This window comes from Homo sapiens, chromosome 22, assembly GCF_000001405.40.
Source record: "Homo sapiens chromosome 22, GRCh38.p14 Primary Assembly".
In the NCBI taxonomy this organism is placed as follows: Eukaryota; Metazoa; Chordata; class Mammalia; order Primates; family Hominidae; genus Homo; species Homo sapiens.
The window spans coordinates 24,310,794-24,330,183 of record NC_000022.11 but is presented as its reverse complement, the minus strand read 5'-3'; the positions used below and the strand labels follow the sequence as shown (position 1 = coordinate 24,330,183).

At 42.6% G+C, this 19,390-nt stretch overlaps 1 protein-coding gene and 1 long non-coding RNA gene across 4 annotated transcripts in view, besides 1 other annotated feature; both read right to left on the bottom strand.

Moving 5' to 3' along the window:
* Positions 1-19,390, bottom strand: part of SPECC1L-ADORA2A (SPECC1L-ADORA2A readthrough (NMD candidate)) — a 171,544-nt gene that overhangs the window by 112,177 nt on the left and 39,977 nt on the right. The window contains 4 exon segments of the long non-coding RNA NR_103546.1: positions 1,265-1,338; positions 5,757-5,964; positions 7,266-8,896; positions 16,718-16,871. This is a non-coding gene — a long non-coding RNA (SPECC1L-ADORA2A readthrough (NMD candidate)).
* The window catches only part of SPECC1L (sperm antigen with calponin homology and coiled-coil domains 1 like), a 146,908-nt gene that overhangs the window by 87,555 nt on the left and 39,963 nt on the right, over positions 1-19,390 (bottom strand). For all 3 annotated transcript variants that reach the window (NM_015330.6, NM_001145468.4, NM_001254732.3), the window contains 4 exons: positions 16,718-16,871; positions 7,266-8,896; positions 5,757-5,964; positions 1,265-1,338 (listed from right to left, as the gene is read on the bottom strand). In NM_015330.6, the coding sequence (NP_056145.5) occupies positions 1,265-1,338; positions 5,757-5,964; positions 7,266-8,896; positions 16,718-16,871 (2,067 nt within the window). The remainder of the gene's footprint in view (positions 1-1,264; positions 1,339-5,756; positions 5,965-7,265; positions 8,897-16,717; positions 16,872-19,390) is intronic.
* Positions 13,156-13,893: an enhancer, noted in NCBI's record as "OCT4-NANOG-H3K27ac hESC enhancer chr22:24712259-24712996 (GRCh37/hg19 assembly coordinates)". NCBI's record gives its function as "activates a minimal SCP1, AML or CMV promoter by ChIP-STARR-seq in naive H9 embryonic stem cells {active_cell/tissue: H9 hESC(naive)}" and the evidence as "EXISTENCE:reporter gene assay evidence [ECO:0000049][PMID:30033119]".

Sequence of the window (19,390 nt, the reverse complement as noted above, 5' to 3'; positions counted from 1 at the left end):
TTATGATTGGATTGCTATAATGCACTAATGCTTCCAAATGATGATTAATTTTTTTAATCCCAGAGAATTGCTAGTATCTATTTCTAACAGGCAATGCAACTATTATTAGTGAACTTGTTCTTAATAAGGAAAAGATTTTCCAGCTGATCTGCCTACTGAGGCATCAAGTACTCAGAGTGCTCAACAGATATTAATGATAATAATGTCAAGCTTCCCTTCTTCATGCAAGTTTCAAAGCAAGTCTTATGAAAATAAACATCATCCAGAATTTATGGATGTTTACCTCTGAAAAGCACAAAAAGGTATATAAATGGTATGTGAACCATACAGTGAAAAACTATAAATAGCCTGACATCAAAATCTAACAGGAAAAAAAAAAATCAAAAGAAAAGGAAGAGGAAGAGGAAGCCAGAAGAAAAACACTAAACTCAATATAGGCAGGCAAAATTATACAAAGAGGCGGTAAGGAACTACGTGGTCTGTTGCTTCCCACAGTCATGGAGGATGCGGGTGTGGCCGGGTGGGGAAGTCTCCCTGGGACTCACCTCCATCAGAGCCATAGCTGGGGCATGCCTGAGCCCCACGCCCCCTACACCCCTAAAGCAATTTTCTTACACCATGAAAGCAGCCTGAGCAACTGTGGTATGACCCAAACGACTGAGTAGCTTTCTCCCTACTCCCTGCAGCATGGCTGCATTGCTGTTGGCAAGATGGATCATGGCCACAAAATGAAGAAAACTTGTATGAAAACAGACTAGTTTGGGGCACCTTATAACCAAAAGCTAATAACCTTTCTTACACTTTTTCCCCAAATCTATCTTTCTAAAATTACTACCCATAAATTTCTACAGGTCGAGTATCACTTATCCAAAAGCATTTCAGATTTAAGATTCTTTGGATTTTGGAATATTTGCACTATACTTAACAGCTAAGCATCCCAAATCTGAAAATCCGAAATCCAAAATGCTCCAATAAGCATTTCCTTTGAGTATCATGCCATCACTCCAAGAGTTGCAAATTTTGGAATATTTTAGATTTCAGAATGTCTGGTTAGGGGTACTCAACCTATAGTACATTCTTCTACCCAAAATCTAGCACCAATCCCAATTTGAAATGATAGCATTTGCTTTCTGCCCAAAGCCCAATGGGGCCAGTATTATCACTGTATCCAAAACTTAAGATGAATGATAACATGGTCAATGACTACACCTCAGATTTCAGAAAACCGTTTTCTAACAAGACAATACATGAAGATTTATCCTACCCGAAGTCTTCTGTGGAGTGTCTTTATTTCTCTTTCCATGTCGTGCTTTTGGTCCTGGAGTTTTTTAACTGTATCTGAAAAGATCACCAAAGTTTAAATATCTATTCTCACAACAATCTTCAGAGTAATAATACAAAGAAAAGGGATACTTAAATATGACATTCGAAAAAAGTTATCCTGTCCAAAGACTATAAAAAATTTTAATACAAAACTTTAACAGAAAAAATGTTAAATTCAAGTAATAACAAATATTACTTTCTTTGGAAAATATCAAGTTAAAAATCACAATTTCTAAATCACTTCCTTCCACAGTATCTTAATTTTGAAACAAAAAGTAAAACCGTTAGAAATTCACTTTGTTGGTACATAACCAATCAAAACAATATTGACTGTGACTACAATATGAACTTTTAATCACAAGTATTATTAATCTGCAGTATTTATATAAGCATAGCTTTCCTTACACACTGGAATAAATTCCAGAAAAGAAGTGAATTAGTAAAATCAAAATTAGTAAAAAATATAATACTCAGGGTAGCTGCTGTTTCAATTAATTCTATAAAAATCTTTTTAAAAAATAAAGAATATATTTATAAAGTAAATCAATAATTCCTCAAATTATTTATCCGATAATGTGAATTTTCTTAGAACAATTTCATTCACTCTAAAAACATTCAATGAGCACCACCAATAAGATGCAAAGTACCATTCTAGATAGAGTGAGGATACAAGGATGAAAGTGTAGCACAGGCTAGTCTCCCTGGAACCAGAAACGTAAAGGGAAGTCACCTTCTCTTTGGAGGTTCTACTCTAAAATCCATGCATAAGAGATAAATGACTTAGGAGGGTGCTATGCTGATAGCTGCCACTAAGTAAACCGCTTACGGCTGTGTTACTTTGACAGCTCAGGAACCAATCACTTTTTGGTTAAGGGCAAGAAAGGGTACTTACACAACTGGTGGCAAATCCTTTACCCTGATTTACCTACAGCCCCACCCCAGTAGATCCCTGGCTGTTGTGTGTGTTCCAAGTGTGTCTTACACAGCCTTGTACCATGTTGCCGCCAATATTACCACATCTCGACACATCTGTCTCGACCACTAGACTAAAAACACTTCAAAGGCAGAAGAAGCCATGTGATGACCTCACAGACTCAGTAGTTGGAATATGGTATCTTTAAAATGGAATAAATTTATAAATGTGCCAGCTAATGGTAGCAGTAATAAAAAGTAATGCTGAAATCGTTACCTAGGTTTTTGTTTTTTTTTTAATAAGTATCCTATTGACAGAACTTAACGATTTATCATTAGGGAAAACATAACTATAGACATTAGTGTTTCTGGGTAAATAACATTCTCTCCCATTCCTTATACTTAGTAGCAGGAATTCAGGCATAGTGAACACCTGCTTGCAATGACACATGTAATCAAAAAATTCTTCCTCTAGCTAACACTTTATTGGCTTTTAATTAGGACCCTAAAGTATGAGTATGCTGATGTTCTTTCTTTCTTAGATGGCTCATCATCTTCTTTACCCCTGTTCCACTAGAACCTTCTCTTCTAAAATTTTTTTGCCATTATGCTTTACATTTGATGTTGGTATATGTGTGTTCTGATGTTTTTTTTTTTTTTTTTTTTTTTTTGAGACGGAGTCTCAATCTGTTGCCCAGGCTGGAGTGCAGTGGCATGATTTCAGCTCACTGCAACCTCTGCCCCCTGGGTTCAAGCGATTCTCCTGCCTCAGCCTCCTGTGGAGATGGGATTATAGGCGCCTGCCACCACGTCCAGCTAATTTTTGTATTTTTAGTACAGACGGGGTTTCACCATGTTGGCCAGGCTGGTCTTGAACTCCTGACCTCATGATCCACCCGCCTCGGCCTCCCAAAGTGCTAGGATTACAAGCATGAGCCACTGCACCCAGCCAGTGTTCTGGTATTTTTAAATGGCATGAATTCACTTTAACAACATAGAGCCTAGAATATTTACAACAATTATATGTGGAATAATAATTATTACAAATAAATAATAATGCTGTATTTTCTAAAGCTGGATCAGAAATAAATGGGATAAAACGTTGGCGGCAGGGGCAATTCTGGTAGGCAGTAGTTAACTTGCTCTCATTCACTGCCCCAAAACTGTGTAACAAAGTCAGGTCCTGTGAAATAAAAAGGTTCAAAATTTACTCTTTAATTTGATAAATGTGTCATATGTACCAACTTTGTACCAGGCTTTTTTCTAAGTGCTTAAGATGTAAAGGAAAGGAAAGATATAATCTTCATCCTCTTAGAGACAGAAAGGCTAGTCTTGTGTTGAGACAACAAGGGTAGATGACTTCATAAGCAAAAGATTAAACTTTAAAGCCTGTCTCACACATAAGGTACTTCAGACTCAACCTGCAAACGAAGAGTCAAACAGGCCATCTAATCTGGTTTGGGTAAAGCAGACACCAAGCTGAGTAGACGAGTCTAATGCCCTGATCCTTATCTCTGGAGGCAAGGATGGCTCTGGAATCAGCAAGGGAACTTGGTTCCTTGCGACCTCACACATAGACAAATTCAGGGTTTTGGACATAAGACGAGGAGTAAGGACAGAAGCTGAAAAATTTCTAATGTTGAAAACACTGGGAGTTACACCTTTCATTTACATTGTATCAATTTATATGCAAGAAATATTTCATAATCAAAACAGGCGGTCAGGCGTGGTGGCACAGGCCTGTAATATCTGCTGATCACCTGAGGTCAGGAGTTCGAGACCAGCCTGGCCAACGTGGTGAAACCCTGTCTCTACTAAAAATAAAAAATTAGCCGGGTGTGGTAGTGGGCGCCTGTAATTCCAGCTACACAGGAGGCTGAAGCAGGAGAATCGCTTGAACCCGGGGGGCAGAGGTTGCAGTGAGCCAAGATGGTACCACTGCACTCTAGCCTGGGCACCAAGAATGAAACTCCATCCCAAAAAAGCAAACAAACAGCAAAAAACAGGCAAGCAAACAAAAAATGTTAGGAGTGTAATTTCTCTTGAAATTTGCTGAAAATTGTTTTCTTTTTCTTGTCACAAAGGACATGACACATCTACTTACTGTTAAACATAATACACACATGACAAATGACAGCAAATCTCAGGACAGCTCACTTTTAACATTTGGCATTTTGATTCTCAGGTGACATTTTAAGCTACCTGGTCATCTTAGACTGATCATAAATTCTCAAGTTGCATTCATTCCTTTGCTCTTTTTCTCTTTATTGACCTTTTTTCATTCATGGCCACAGAATTCACATAATCACTGTTCTTTAAAAGGTGTTTTTCTGCCCCCGGCACTACATTTTTATTACTGTCACCTCTTATAAATAAATAAATAAATAAATAAATAAATAAATAAATAAATCCATTTAAGTAAAAGGGAAAGTGGCAGCCAGTGGAAATACTCAGACAGAATAAAATGCACTAAAAGTGTCTGTAGGGATTTGATTTAAACTTTACAATCTCTACAGTCATGACTACGTTTTTACTCTGAAATGGAATGTATTTTTTTTTCCTGGAAACAAAGGAATTTGTGCTTAAGTTCTTGTTGTGAAGACTAGTTTGCAAAACTGCCATCTAGCACGATTTGTGGTCACACAAGAAAGCAGCATTACTCTTCAACTCTCGAACCTCTAACAGCAGTTTCCTTCCTCTTCAGTGTTCCTACTGTGAGGGACACTGCCATCTACTGTCTTCAACTCAAAAGCAACATTCAAGTCGACCAAGGAAAAGAACTACTACTATGATCTTCCTATTTTTAAATTACAAATTATAACTCAATTTTTACAATGTTATTTTTATTCTAGAGATCAGGCAAACTGCTGTTCTCAATGTTATTAGACCAACTTTGTTCTGAACAACTCTGGGCACTGCCCTACTCATTTAATAATGGGTTCATAACTTTTGAGTCCCATTATTGATTATGAACCCCATTATTCTCTGACAAAAAATAATCCATTCTCGCTCTGGTTATATCTCCATCAATCATGCTGATATTGCCAGGCAGTTACCATGGACACAGGATCAATCTGTGACTTTTTCTTTTCTGTTTTGAAATAAAGTCTCACTCTGTCACCCAGGCTTGACTGCACTGGCACAATCTCAGCTCACTGCAGCCTCCGTCTCCTGGGTTCAAGCGATCCTCCCACCTCAGCCTTCCAAGTAGCTGGGATTACAGGCACCTGGCACCACACCCAGCTAATTTTTGTATTTTTAGTAGATACGGGGTTTTACCATGTTGGCCAGGCTGGTCTCAAACTCCTCAACTCAAGTGATCTGCCTGCCTTGGCCTCCCAAGGTGCTGGGATTACAGGTGTGAGCCACTGTGCCCAGCCTGGTTCGGTTTTGAACTCCCAAAGTGCTGGAATTACAGGCATGAGCCACCGTGCCCAGCCCTATTTTATTACTAAATGCAAATTATCCCCGCATGTTTAAAAGAGTAGGACAAAAAAGAATGAAAAGTTCTTATCACTTACTCTCTAGATCAGAAATAATGAGGTTGTCATGAAGTTTCACAGCACGATGTTGTTCTACTTCATCTTCAAGTTCAAAGATGGTTTCTTTCATGTCACTCCTTTCTGTTTCTTTTTCATCCAGGTCTGATCTTAATTTTTCTAACGTCATATTCAAATCTTCAATTTGTTTCTTAGCTTCTTCTTGGAAGGCTCGGTATTCATCCTCTACCTACGTAAAATTGACGATGCAGATTTAGAAAAGTTAAGAGTTGTTCTAAGGTACGTTCCAGAATTGAGGTACACACAGTTTCCAAGGGGAGCTAAGTATGAGGCACTATGGATAAACTAAAACAACCTGTGTAATAACTGTTAAAAAGTATGAAAAAGCACTCCATGGTAAGATTTTATCTAATACACTTAAACTGTTGCTGTAACACTGACTGAAATTATATTGATGTATCATTGAACTTAACCTGATTATTTACAAGGAAACTTTGGAAATTTTCGTTTCTCCTAACTTTGGACTGAAAGCATGTACGTTTGTTTAATGATTAACATGTTGTCCTAACAAAAATGATGTCATATTTGTGACGGTTCCAGTATCAAACTGAAAAAGGGAAAACAATTCTCAAATAGTGTTTTTACAAAAGTATTAGTTCACAGTAGCCTCTCAACATGTATGTGCCAAGAACTAATACAAATCTCCTAAACTGTAACTTTAAAAGTGATCACTAAAAACACCCTAAAATCTAAATTACTCAAATTTTAGCCAAAGATATATGAAAATTTATTTTAAAATCATTGCACTAAAATAACAAATAAATAAAATGTAAGCTAGAATAACTAGTATAACTAGAATAACTCATGGAAATAAACAGTTCATCAGCAACCACATGGGGTATAGATAGATCCCTGGCCAGAATGCCAGTGGCCCTGGGTAGCAGTTCCAACTGAGTCCTCACTATTATGCTGGAGGCATGTACAACAAGGGTCTGGACTGATAATTGCTAAGGTCCCTGCCAGCAATAAATCACAGGCCTCTGAGAAACAGGAGCCTCTATATGCCAAAAATATTTTTTAACTATCAACAGATCTCTATTTGAAAAACTATTACTATAGCAAGATAAGAGGAAACATGCACTGCTGATGCTACAGACTGGAATACTGACTCTCCACCTATTACACCAAAACAGATTCGAGATGAGGCGGGGGGAGGTAAAATTTCATGACCCGCTCCATAGGAATACTCAGAACTAGGGACAAATTCTGGTTTTAGCTGTAATACCAGCCATATCCTCTCACAGGCAGGAAAACAGAAACAAAATACAAGTGAGAGAAAGTGACATTATCTTAAGAATACTTTTCACACTATTCCAATAAAAGGAAACCATTCCCAAGTTTTAAAAATATCAGTTTTAAAAAAAAGCTAATAACACACCAAACCAAACCAGTAACCCAGGTTCTCAGTAAACACTGTGCATGGCAGCTGCCTAATGCTGTCCGGAACATTTTAATCTATTTAAACAATACCTTAGCAATGGCATCCTGTAATCGATTGGCATCATTTCGGGTATGAGCCAGATCTTCCTGCAAGCTACTAGCCAAAGTCTCTGCTTTTTCTTTGTCCAGCCTGACACTCTCCAGGAGGTCCTGAATATCAGATTTGTCTCCAGAGTTATGGATAGAATACAGCTCTGCCACTTTCTGCTTTTCATTCTCCAGCTGAGCCTTCAGGCGATTCATCTCTATCTGGTCACTGGCCACTGTGGCTTTGTATTCCTCTAACGTGGCTGCCAAGGCTGCTTTTCCTTTCTGCTCAGACTCAATAATTCGCTCCATATGGTGACTGCGTTCTTTGAGTGCCCCTATCATTTCTTGAGCTTCCTTATTGTCTTGTTCTGCCATTTTCAAAGTATTGCTTAAATGCTGCTGGACACCAAGAAGCTGCTCCCGTTCAAAACGGGCATTCTCAGCGAGGTCCATGTAACGTTGCTCTAATTCCATATAGCGCCCACTTTTTACATCTTCATCTATGACATAAGAAATGTGATGCTCATCTAGAAGAGAGCGGAAGTATTCAATCTGTCGACTAAAGTGTTCCAACTTATCGCTCTGCTGACATAAAGACTCCATCAGAATAACCTTCTCTTCTCCAAGCCTTTCGTTTTCACTATTCAGTTCCTGGGTAATCTGCTGTAAATCAGCTAGCTCTTGCAGGGTTGCCTGGAGTTCCTCACTTGTACTGTGTTGGTTCTCTTCCATCTGGTGTATCCGTTCAGTCAGGCAAGCCACGGACACTTCACTGGCATTCCCGCTGCTCCCCTTCCGGGAGCGCTCTATGCTGGGGATGCCTTCCGACTCTGAGGAGGATGGTGCATCCAGCGCATCATCGCTCGATGTGAGGGGCTGGTAGACCTCACTGCACTCACTGTCTAAATTGTCCATGGAGTTACTGTGCTGATGGTCCATTAGTGTATTTTCATCCTGACTCAAGAGATCCTCCACTGAGCCAGGGGCAGAGCCTTCCACTGAAGAAGTCAGAGTTCCTCCTCCATCGCTCTGGTTACCAGGGGTGATTTCTGGGCTCAGGGACTGATAGCCAAACAGTTTTTCAGAATTGTCTAACCTCTGCTCTAGGGAAAAGCCCAATGCATTCAACCTGTCCTTTAACATTCTGTTTTCATTTTTCAGCTGGTTGAGTTCTTCACGGATGGCAGTATTCTGTTCCTGCAACTGCAATAAAGTGGACTCCACATCAGTCGGCTGGTGAGCCATAATAGTTTCCTTCTCAGATTTTTCATCACCCTCAGAATGATCCTCATTAATGCCCAGCTGGGCACGCATGTCTCGCAGTTCATTTCTCAAATGTAAAATTTCTACGTCTTTGGTTTTTGCCAGCGTGAGAAGATCCTTCACTTTGGCCTCCAAAGCAGCTCTGTCACTGATCTGATTGTCTGACTTAGACTTGCTCATACGAACGTCACATTCTGTAGCAGTTCGACTGCGGGAACGTTTGGCCAATGCCATGTCATTAGCTCCCTGACCTGCAGAAGGTAGTTTTTTGCTCTGGTTTAATCGGGTACGTTCACGTAATCTTTCTCTAGTAGAACTGGATTCTTTATTACCTGTAGAAGTGCTCCGCTTGGTTGAAGAAGCTGTGCCTATGTGTTTAATACAAAAAATGTAAGGCAAAAATGTCAGCAATAAAAGGCTACATAGAATACACAGTTCCTGCCCCAGGTGTAATGAGATGAAATCCAGGATCTACACAATGATTTAGATCTACAATAATCTTGCCTTAGAGTCTGTTAAAGTTCAATTTCTTCAAAACCAGAAGATCATTCATCTTTTAATTATCAAGGAGAAATAAGTTATACACTTTGTTTTACATGTTTTTAAAAGAGTAAATTTTATGGAATGTGAATTACATTTCTACAAAGCTGTTATTTAAATGATATACATTAACTTGAATCCAGAAGTGGGGTTTTAACCAGTTGGCCAGAGGCATAATATTCTAGGGCAAGACAGGTGAAGATGACTCCAGGATTAGCCAGTCGGTGGTAAACTAACTGTACACAGATAGTGAAGGGAGATCATAGGTGGGCAAGAAGGGAAAAGCAGTCTCTGGGAAAACCAAAAATCTAAGCTACCTACTAGAAACACAAAAATTTTACTCTGACCAAAGTAAATGCAAAATAGTTTTAACACCATAAAATGCCACATAAATAATAACAATTATAACAATAGCTAACACATACCTAGCACTTGGTTATACAAATACATTAACACTTCACATACATTAACTTATATAAGCCTCATTAAAGACGTGAGGTAGGTGCTATTATCACCTTGTTTTACAGATGAAGAAACTCAGACACAGATGTTAAATAATTTGCCAACATGTCACAGGTAATAAATAGATGAGCCAAAATTGAAACCCAGGCAGTCTGGTTCCAGATTTTGCACCTTAACCAGTATGTTATACTGTCTCTCTAAATGTAAAAAACAACGAAGCACTAATGTTAAATAATGATGATGCGTCAATCAAATCTACGTGAATCACATGATTACTTAACTACTAAAATTTTAAACCTGTGAAAACTGACACAATCATTTGTTTAATACAAAAAGAACAGGAAGTTTTTTTTGTTCGTTTTTTTGGTTTTTTTTGAGATGGAGTCTCTCTTGACCATCACCCAGGCTATAGTGCAGTGGAGCGATTTCGGCTCACTGCAACCTCTGACTCCCAGGTTCAAGCGATTCTCCTTCCTAGGCCTCCCAAGTAGCTGGGATTACAGGAGCGTGCCACCATGCCTGGCTAATTTTTTTGTATTTTTAGTAGAGATAGGGTTTCACCATGTTGGCCAGGCTGGTCTCAAACTCCTGACCTCAAATGATCTGCCCGCGTCGGTCTCCCAGCGTGCTGGGATTACAGGCGTGAGCCACTGAATTTACAGGCGTGAGCCACCGCACTTACAGGCGTGAGCCACCGCACCTGGCCAGGAATATGTTTAAATACCTGTAAATACTTAAGAAATAACAAATTTTTATGTTAAAAAATAAGATCCACATCTAATCAATAAGTATTTTTAAAGACCCTGCTGGTTCATTAGGTGGTGGGATCCAGGCTGTAGAGGTAACAGGGAGCAAATGATCTCCACAGATAGAGGGAGATAGCCACTAACAGAACAGGTATACAGGAGGATGCGGAATTCAGGCTGGCAAAAAGACAGACAACGAAAGGAAGCAGAAGTGAACATGGCACACAGAAAGGAAAAGTACAGTCACACAGTTAACGGAAGCTGCTGGGGAATGTTCATATAGAGTCCCAAAAGATAGGCAGAATTCAGTGAGTCACACTAAGTCAATAAATGATCCTGAGTAGGAAAGAAATGTAAGGAAAAGTACATTTTATGAAAATTAATCTAGAGGATACTGATATGGTTTGGCTGTGTCCCCACCCAAATCTCATCTTGAACTGTAGTTCCCATAATCCCTATGTGTTTCGGGAGGGACCTGTTGGGAGGTAATTTAATCATGGAAGCAGTTACCCTCACGCTGTTCTCGTGATAGTGAGTTCTCATGACAGCCGATGGTAAGGGGCTTCCCCTTTGCTTGGCTCTCATTCTCCTCCTTCCTGCCACTATGTGGAGAAGAATGTGCCTGCTACCCCTTCCACCATAATTCTAAGTTTCCAGAGGCCTCCCCATCTCTGTGGACCTGTGAGTAAATTAAACCTCTTTTCTTTATGAATTACTCAGTCTGGGGCAGTTCTTTACAGCAGCATGAGAATGGACTAATACAGATTCTAAGTGGAATACATAAGGAAGAAAGCAGAGCAGCAGAGGAGGAATGTGGGCAGGTAGATCAATGAGGTAAAAGAGGTCCCACATTCAGGGGCGGCAGTAAGAACAGAGAAGAGGCAAGAAATCTGTGACAGATATCAAAGGCAAGAGTAACCAGACTGGGATAAACAACTGTATACGGAGGCCAAAAATGGAAAAAGATGGCATAACTTTTTTTTTTTTTTTGAGGCTCTGTCACCCAGGCTAGAGTGCAGTTGTGCCATCACAGCTCACGGCAACTCTACCTCCCAGGCTCAGGTGATCCTCCCACCTCAGCCACCCGAGTAGCTAGGACTACAAGCACACGCCACCATACCCAGCTAATTTTTGTATTTTTTGTAGAGACGGGGTTTCACCACATTGGGCATGTTGCCCAAGCTGGTCTTGAACTCCTAGGCTCAAGTGATCTGCCCACCTTGGCCTCCTAAAGTGCTGGGATTACAGGCGTGCACCATCGCACCTGGCTGGGGTAACTTTTTTCCCCAACATTAATTCCTTTCCCTAGTTCTGCAAGTGGTACCACATCCTTATCTAAATCAAAAATCCTTATAAAAAAGAAAATCTGGCTCTCCCTCTCCCCTCTCCCCTCTTTCCACGGTCTCCCTCTGATGCCGAGCCGAAGCTGGACTGTACTGCTGCCATCTCGGCTCACTGCAACCTCCCTGCCTGATTCTCCTGCCTCAGCCTGCCGAGTGCCTGCGATTGCAGGCGCGCGCCGCCACGCCTGACTGGTTTTCGTATTTTTTGGGTGGAGACGGGGTTTCGCTGTGTTGGCCGGGCTGGTCTCCAGCTCCTAACCGCGAGTGATCTGCCAGCCTCGGCCTCCCGAGGTGCCGGGATTGCAGACGGAGTCTCCTTCACTCATTGCTCAATGGTGCCCAGGCTGGAGTGCAGTGGCGTGATCTCGACTTGCTACAACATCCACCTCCCAGCAGCCTGCCTTGGCCTCCCAAAGTGCCGAGATTGCAGCCTCTGCCCGGCCCCACCCCGTCTGGGAAGTGAGGAGCGTCTCTGCCTGGCCGCCCATCGTCTGGGATGTGAGGAGCCCCTCTGCCTGGCTGCCCAGTCTGGAAAGTGAGGAGCGTCTCTGCCCAGCCGCCATCCCATCTAGGAAGTGAGGAGCGCCTCTTCCCGGCCGCCATCCCATCTAGGAAGTGAGGAGCGTCTCTGCCCGGCCGCCCATCATCTGAGATGTGGGGAGCGCCTCTGCCCTGTCGCCCCGTCCGGGATGTGAGGAGCGTCTCTGCCCGGCCGCACCATCTGAGAAGTGAGGAGACCCTCTGCCTGGCAACCGCCCTGTCTGAGAAGTGAGGAGCCCCTCCGCCCAGCAGCCGCCCCGTCTGAGAAGTGAGGAGCCCCTCCGCCCGGCAGCCACCCCGTCTGGGAAGTGAGGAGCATCTCTGCCGGGCAGCCACCCCGTCCAGGAGGGAGATGGGGGGGTCAGCCCCCCGCCTGGCCAGCCGCCCCGTCCGGGAGGGAGGTGGGGGGATCAGCCCCCCGCCCGGCCAGCCGCCCCGTCCGGGAGGCGAGGGGCGCCTCTGCCCGGCCGCCCCTACTGGGAAGTGAGGAGCCCCTCTGCCTGGCCAGCCGCCCCGTCCGGGAGGGAGGTGGGGGGGTCAGCCCCCTGCCCAGCCAGCCGCCCCGTCCGGGAGGTTGGGGGGTCAGCCCCCCGCCCGGCCAGCGCCCCATCTGGGAGGTGAGGGGCGCCTCTGCCCGGCCGCCCCTACTGGGAAGTGAGGAGCCCCTCTGCCCGGCCAGCCGCCCCGTCCGGGAGGGAGGTGGGGGGGGTCAGCCCCCCGCCTGGCCAGCCGCCCCGTCCGGGAGGGAGGTGGGGGGGGTCAGCCCCCCGCCCGGCCAGCCGCCCCATCCGGGAGGTGAGGGGCGCCTCTGCCCGGCCGCCCCTACTGGGAAGTGAGGAGCCCCTCTGCCCAGCCAGCCGCCCCGTCCGGGAGGGAGGTAGGGGGGTCAGCCCCCCGCCCAGCCAGCCGCCCCGTCCAGGAGGGAGGTGGGGGGGTCAGCCCCACCGCCCGGCCAGCCACCCCCTCCGGGAGGGAGGTGGGGGGGTCAGCCCCCCGCCCGGCCAGCCGCCCCGTCCAGGAGGTGAGGGGCGCCTCTGCCCGGCCGCCCCTACTGGGAAGTGAGGAGCTCCTCGGCCCGGCCAGCCGCCCCGTCTGGGAGGGAGGTTGGGGGGGTCAGCCCCCCGCCCGGCCAGCCGCCCCATCCAGGAGGTGAGGGGCGCCTCTGCCCGGCCGCCCCTACTGGGAAGTGAGGAGCCCCTCTGCCCGGCCACCACCCCGTCTGGGAGGTGTACCCAACAGCTCATTGAGAATGGGCCATGATGACAATGGTGGTTTTGTGGAATAGAAAGGGGGGAAAGGTGGGGAAAAGATTGAGAAATCGGATGGTTGCCGTGTCTGTGTAGAAAGAGGTAGACATGGGAGACTTTTAATTTTGTTCTGTACTAAGAAAAATTCTTCTGCCTTGGGATCCTGTTGATCTGTGACCTTACCCCCAACCCTGTGCTCTCTGAAACATGTGCTGTGTCCACTCAGGGTTAAATGGATTAAGGGCGGTGCAAGATGTGCTTTGTTAAACAGACGCTTGAAGGCAGCATGCTCGTTCAGAGTCATCACCACTCCCTAATCTCAAGTACCCAGGGACACAAACACTGCGGAAGGCCGCAGGGTCCTCTGCCTAGGAAAACCAGAGACCTTTGTTCACTTGTTTATCTGCTGACCTTCCCTCCACTATTGTCCTGTGACCCTGCCAAATCCCCCTCTGCGAGAAACACCCAAGAATGATCAATAAATAAATAAATAAATAAATAAAAAGAAAATCTGTTCATGTTTGAAAGATAAAAGAAGAAAAATTCTTCTCTGGATTACTGTAATGAGTAGACAGAATAATCTGAGGTAAAGACAAGTGAATTGATACATGGAAATCAAACAGTCTTAGGAAAGTCACTGGAGGAGGTAAAGGTAGAGCAGATGAACTGAAGAATAAGGATGTTGTTATAGGCTGAACTGTGCCCGCACAAAACACACAAAATTAATATGTTGAAGCCCTAACCCCAAAACCTCAAATGTGACTGCACCTGGAGACAGGATAATGAAGTTAAAGAGGTAATTAACGTAAGATGAAGTCATTAGGGTGGGCCCTAATCCAACATGACTGGCGTTCTTGTAAGAGGAGGAGATGAGGACACACACACAGAGGGAAGACACAGAGAAGGCAGCCATCTGCAAGACAAAAAAGAGATCTCAGGAGAAAGTAAATCTGCTAACACCCTCATTTCAGACTTCTGGCTTCCAGATTTGAGAAAATAAATTTCTGTGGCTTAAGCCATCCAGTCTGTGGTATTTTGTTATGACATCCCCAGCAAAATAAAATAAACGTACAAAGCCATACTGGGGCAGCTAATCCAGAGAGGTGATAACTGAATCCTGAGGTCAGGTAGCATCAGTCAGTAAGAAACTAAGTATACAAACACATGGAATCTCTCCCAGTACAATTCTAAAGGCAGGAAACAGGAAGACATGCAAATGGCAAGAGTATTTAATTTCCTTCCTACCACATAAGCTACAATGTTAAATGTGGTGATGACCCCAGGCTTGGGAGTAAAAGACCTTGCCTCACCACCAGCCTTGTGGCCTTGTCAAAACAGATCCCCAATAAATATTTACTGAGCAAATGAATGCATGGCCTTGGCCAAGACACTTAAGCTTTCTCATCTCTAAAATGAGGATACTAGTTCTCACAGGACTACAGGTGAGGATAAAATGAAATCATGCCTGTAAATCAGAAAGCAAGGACTTCAATATTCCTTCCTGTTAATCGCACCTATTATCATTAACAGGGAGGCCCAATCTGAAATGGAAGGAAGAATCTGCATAAAGCCAAAGCAAAAATGAAGACAGTAGGTAATCCTGGGCTAGGAGAGTCTAATACACACAAGAGGGGCTAAGAGCCTAAATTACGATGACAGAAAAGGATCTGATGTAATTTTTACAATTTGCCTTCATAAGCTTTATTACAAACACTTGATCTTATGTTTACTAGAAGTTTTAAAGTTCTTTTTCTATAAACGTAAGAAGTAAAATATGAGAGCATTACTCCTTGGACTGTAGGATAATTTATCAACTCCATCAAATCTAAAAACAAATACCTGTTACTGAATGAAGAAAGATGGCAGAATTAGAATGAATGGATCTAGGCACTGATCATCAGAGGCTTCTAACATCATTTAAAGAGGGACAATCAAAAACTATGTGTTTCCTGATGGGTGGACACACCACCACCTATGAAGGAGTCTTGTATTTTGGTTGTTTTGTTTTCAAAATGGGGGGACAGGGGACCTGAATCTGTCCCATAAGGCTCCAATGCCATTTACAATAAATACAGACAATAAAGGGTGATGGGCAAAAACATCATGGGGGTATTACGATATAAAAATCCACATGCTCAGAAACTCTATAGGTCATATGACCAGCTTCCACAAAAATTAAACTGCAAGAATCAGGATAAACCCATGGATTTTAAAAAAGAAGATTTAAGAGACACATCAGCCAATTATATATGGACCTACATGAGTCCTGATCCAAATATAAAAATAGACAGTAAATAAAACAAAAATATTTATAAGACTGTTGGAAATTTAAATACTCATTGAATAAGTTATGATTTAAGGAATGATTATCAGTTATTTCAAGGACTGATAATGGTATTATGATTATATTTTTAAAAGAATCCTTCTCTGGTCGGGCGTGGTGGCTCACGCCTGTAATACCAGCACTTTGGGAGGCCGAGGCGGGCAGATCACGAGGTCAGGAGATCAAGACCATCCTGGCTAACACGGTGAAACTCTGTCTCTACTAAAAATACAAAAAACAAAACTAGCTGGGCTTGGTGGTGGGCGCCTGTAGTCCTAGCTGCTCGGGAGGCTGAGGCAGGAGAATGGCATCAACCCAGGAGGCGAAGCTTGCAGTTAGCTGAGATCATGCCATTGCACTCCAGTCTGGGTGACAGAGCGAAACTCCATCTCAAAAAAAAAGAAAAATCCTTCTCCTTGGCCAGGTGTAGTGGCTCATGCCTGTAATCCCAACACTTTGGGAGGCCAAGGCAGGCAGATCACAAGGTCAGGAGTTCGAGACCAGCCTGACCAACATGGTGAAACCCCATCTCTACTAAAAATACAAAAATTAGCCAGGCATGGTGGCGCATGCCTGTAATCCCAGCTACTCAGGAGGCTGAGGCAGGAGAATCGCTTGAACCTGGGAGGCGAAGGTTGTGGTGAGCCAAGATGGCACCATTGCACTTCAGCCTGCGTGACTAAGACTCTGTCTCAAAAAAAAAAAAAAAAAAGAATCCTTCTCTTTCCAAGATAATAAAGTATTTATGGATGAAATGATATGATGTCCAGAATCTGCTTCAAAATAATAAGAGGGAAGGGTGGGTATCAGGAGTTACAACTGGCTATGAGTTGATAATGGTGATGAGCGTATTGGGCTGAAATATCAATCCATCTACTTTTGTATGTCTAAAATTTCCTATAATTAGATGGAACACTGTAAACACCAATGCATCATGCCCATTCAAACAAAAAAGCAGTTGAAGTCTCAGACTGAATGTCACCGTTACCTGTGCTAATCTTGGATTTGTTCTCCACGGTGGTCATGGCAGGGGCAGATGCTGAAGGTGCTGCAGATGGGCAGGTGCTTTTCTTTCCTTTAACACCATTAGTCACCGTTACCCCTCCGGCCATTCCAGCTAAAAGGTCATCACTGCTCTTGGTCTAGAAGCAACAGAAAATAAAAACAAATTTACTAGATCAAGCAAGATTAGATATTTTGAGACTCAACAAAGCTCATGACTTTTATACTAAGTTCAAGAGCCCTATTACCAAAACTATCTGACAGGTAGTAAGCAGCACACCATACTGTCCTACAGAAACAGAACTTCTTTATAGGTTTATAAACAATCACGTACTTCTTTTTAAAATAATAAACTCGTACATGTAATCAAAGACTTTATGGAAGCCTGCTATGTGTCCACATATGCCAGATTCAGATGATGGGGGATAGCACATGATATCTTGGGAAAGTCCTATAATGCCACAGGAAGTGTCATCTTGCAATTTCTAGAAAGAAATATCCTTGAGAGTCAAATAATCTTCACTGCTCTAAAGTGATTCCATGATGAGGCCAGTATCTAAAAGAATTTATTCTGAAATTTATCTTTTTTACCTTATAATTCTGTAGTAATCAAATTTTAGTCACAATTGAAAGGAGGTATTTTCTAAAACATGCATAATATATTAATAAAAAACTAGAGGCTTTACAGTTTGAGAAAGGGTTCTGCTGTCTAAATGATCGTTATTACTTGAGAAAGACCATCTGCAATATTTATATTTTATAAAGGCAATTTAAAAAACATGAGCCTTAAAAAACACTATGGATAATAAATTGGCTGTAAATTTATTATTCTAAAAAGTAGTGAAGAAACGTTTTTACTTCTCCTAGAAATGAAGGGAACACAGAGCAGTTAAAGATATGTGGGGGAAAAAAAGAGAAAAACTACTTTTTAACAAAAGAACCCAAAAGTTTTCTCTCTTTGGCATGAGTTAGCCAACTGATTTACACTATCTTCTATCTGGAACCATGCCCTCTCTCAGATAATCATACTGAATTCATTTCTACAAGGTAAGATAGTTCATAAGTAACTAATCTCTAAAGTCTCTTCCAGTTCTAAATGTCAGTGAGTCCATATGAAGCATATTTCTGTTATTCAATTATCAAAGTTCTAATACAGTACCATTAGGTTAAAAAGAGGCAGAAAAGGCTGGGCACAGTGGCTCATGCCTGTAATCTTAGCATTTTGGGAGGCCGAGGTGGATCACTTGAGCCCAGGAGTTCAACACCAGCCTGGGCAACATAGGGAGATTCCGTTTCTACAAAAAATTTGAAAACTAATTACCTGGGCAAAGTGGCACATGCCTGTAGTCCTAGTTATTGGGAAGGTTGAAGTGAGAGGATCGCTTGAGCCCGGGAGGTCAAAGCTGCACTGAGCTGTGATCACGCCACCGTACTCCAGCCTAGGCAACAGAGTGAGACCCTGTCCCCACCCGCCCCCCAAAAAAAGAGGCAGAAAAAGGGATAAATATTTTCAATGAATTAAACAGAATTCAACTCTAGTAATTAAGGGCTGTTACATTATGAAATCTAGAATACATAAAAAGAGAGGGAAACACTGCATTAATTTCAAGGACTGTTCATATTCTTTTTTTTTTTTTTTTTTTTTTTTGAGACAAAGTCTCACTCTGTCACCGAGGCTGGAGTGCACTGGCATGATCTCGGCTCACTGCAATCTCCACCTTCCGGGTACAAGTGATTCTCCCACCTCAGCCTCCTAAGTAGCTAGGACTACAGGCATGCGCCACCATGCTTAGCTAATTTTTATATTCTTAGTAGAGATGGGGTATTCCCACGTTGGCCAGGCTGGTCTCGAACTCCTGGCATCAAGTGATCTGCCCACCTTGGCCTCCCAAACTGCTGGGATTACAAGTGTGAGCTACCATGCCTGGTCTGTTCATACTTTTAAGACTTGTTTCTGTTCACAAAAACTGGCCATCAACTATGATGCCGAAGTCACACAATGAAAGTCATACCACTTTCCTGCCAATTTGTCCCTCCTCTCTTAGCCAGTAAATAGCCAGTAAGTAAACTCAACACATTCTTATATTTTCAATCTTCTTTTGTATCCTGCTAATAAAAGTAAAATTATCTTTGAACTAATCTTTCTTCCTCCGTAAGTTAAATTCTTCCATTTGATAATAATTACATTGAAAACCACCCTACATTGTCATGTCAAAGTGGACTACTCATCACACTTCTCTGGTTACAATTTGCCTTTGGCTAATGACAAAGTTAAATACACATAACGGCACCAAATCATAAACTTTGCACTTATAATGATTAAGACAGTACAGCACTGGAACAAGAATAAACTAGTGAAACAGAGTCCATAAAGAAACTGCATATTTATAGACACTTGATTTATAACCAAGGCAGCAAGGGAGAAAACAAGAGTTTTCCAGAAAATGGTGCTAGGTCAAGTGTATACACCAAGGGGGCAAAAATAAATGCTGAGACCTATTTCACACCATATCAAACATAAAGTCCAACGTTTTCTAACTACGATTTTAAATCTAAAATTATAAAACAAAGACTTGATCGATGTGACTACATAAAAATTAAAATCTTAAAAATAAAAAATCCTTTTAATTAAAAAAAGTTAAAATGTTTTGTACAACCA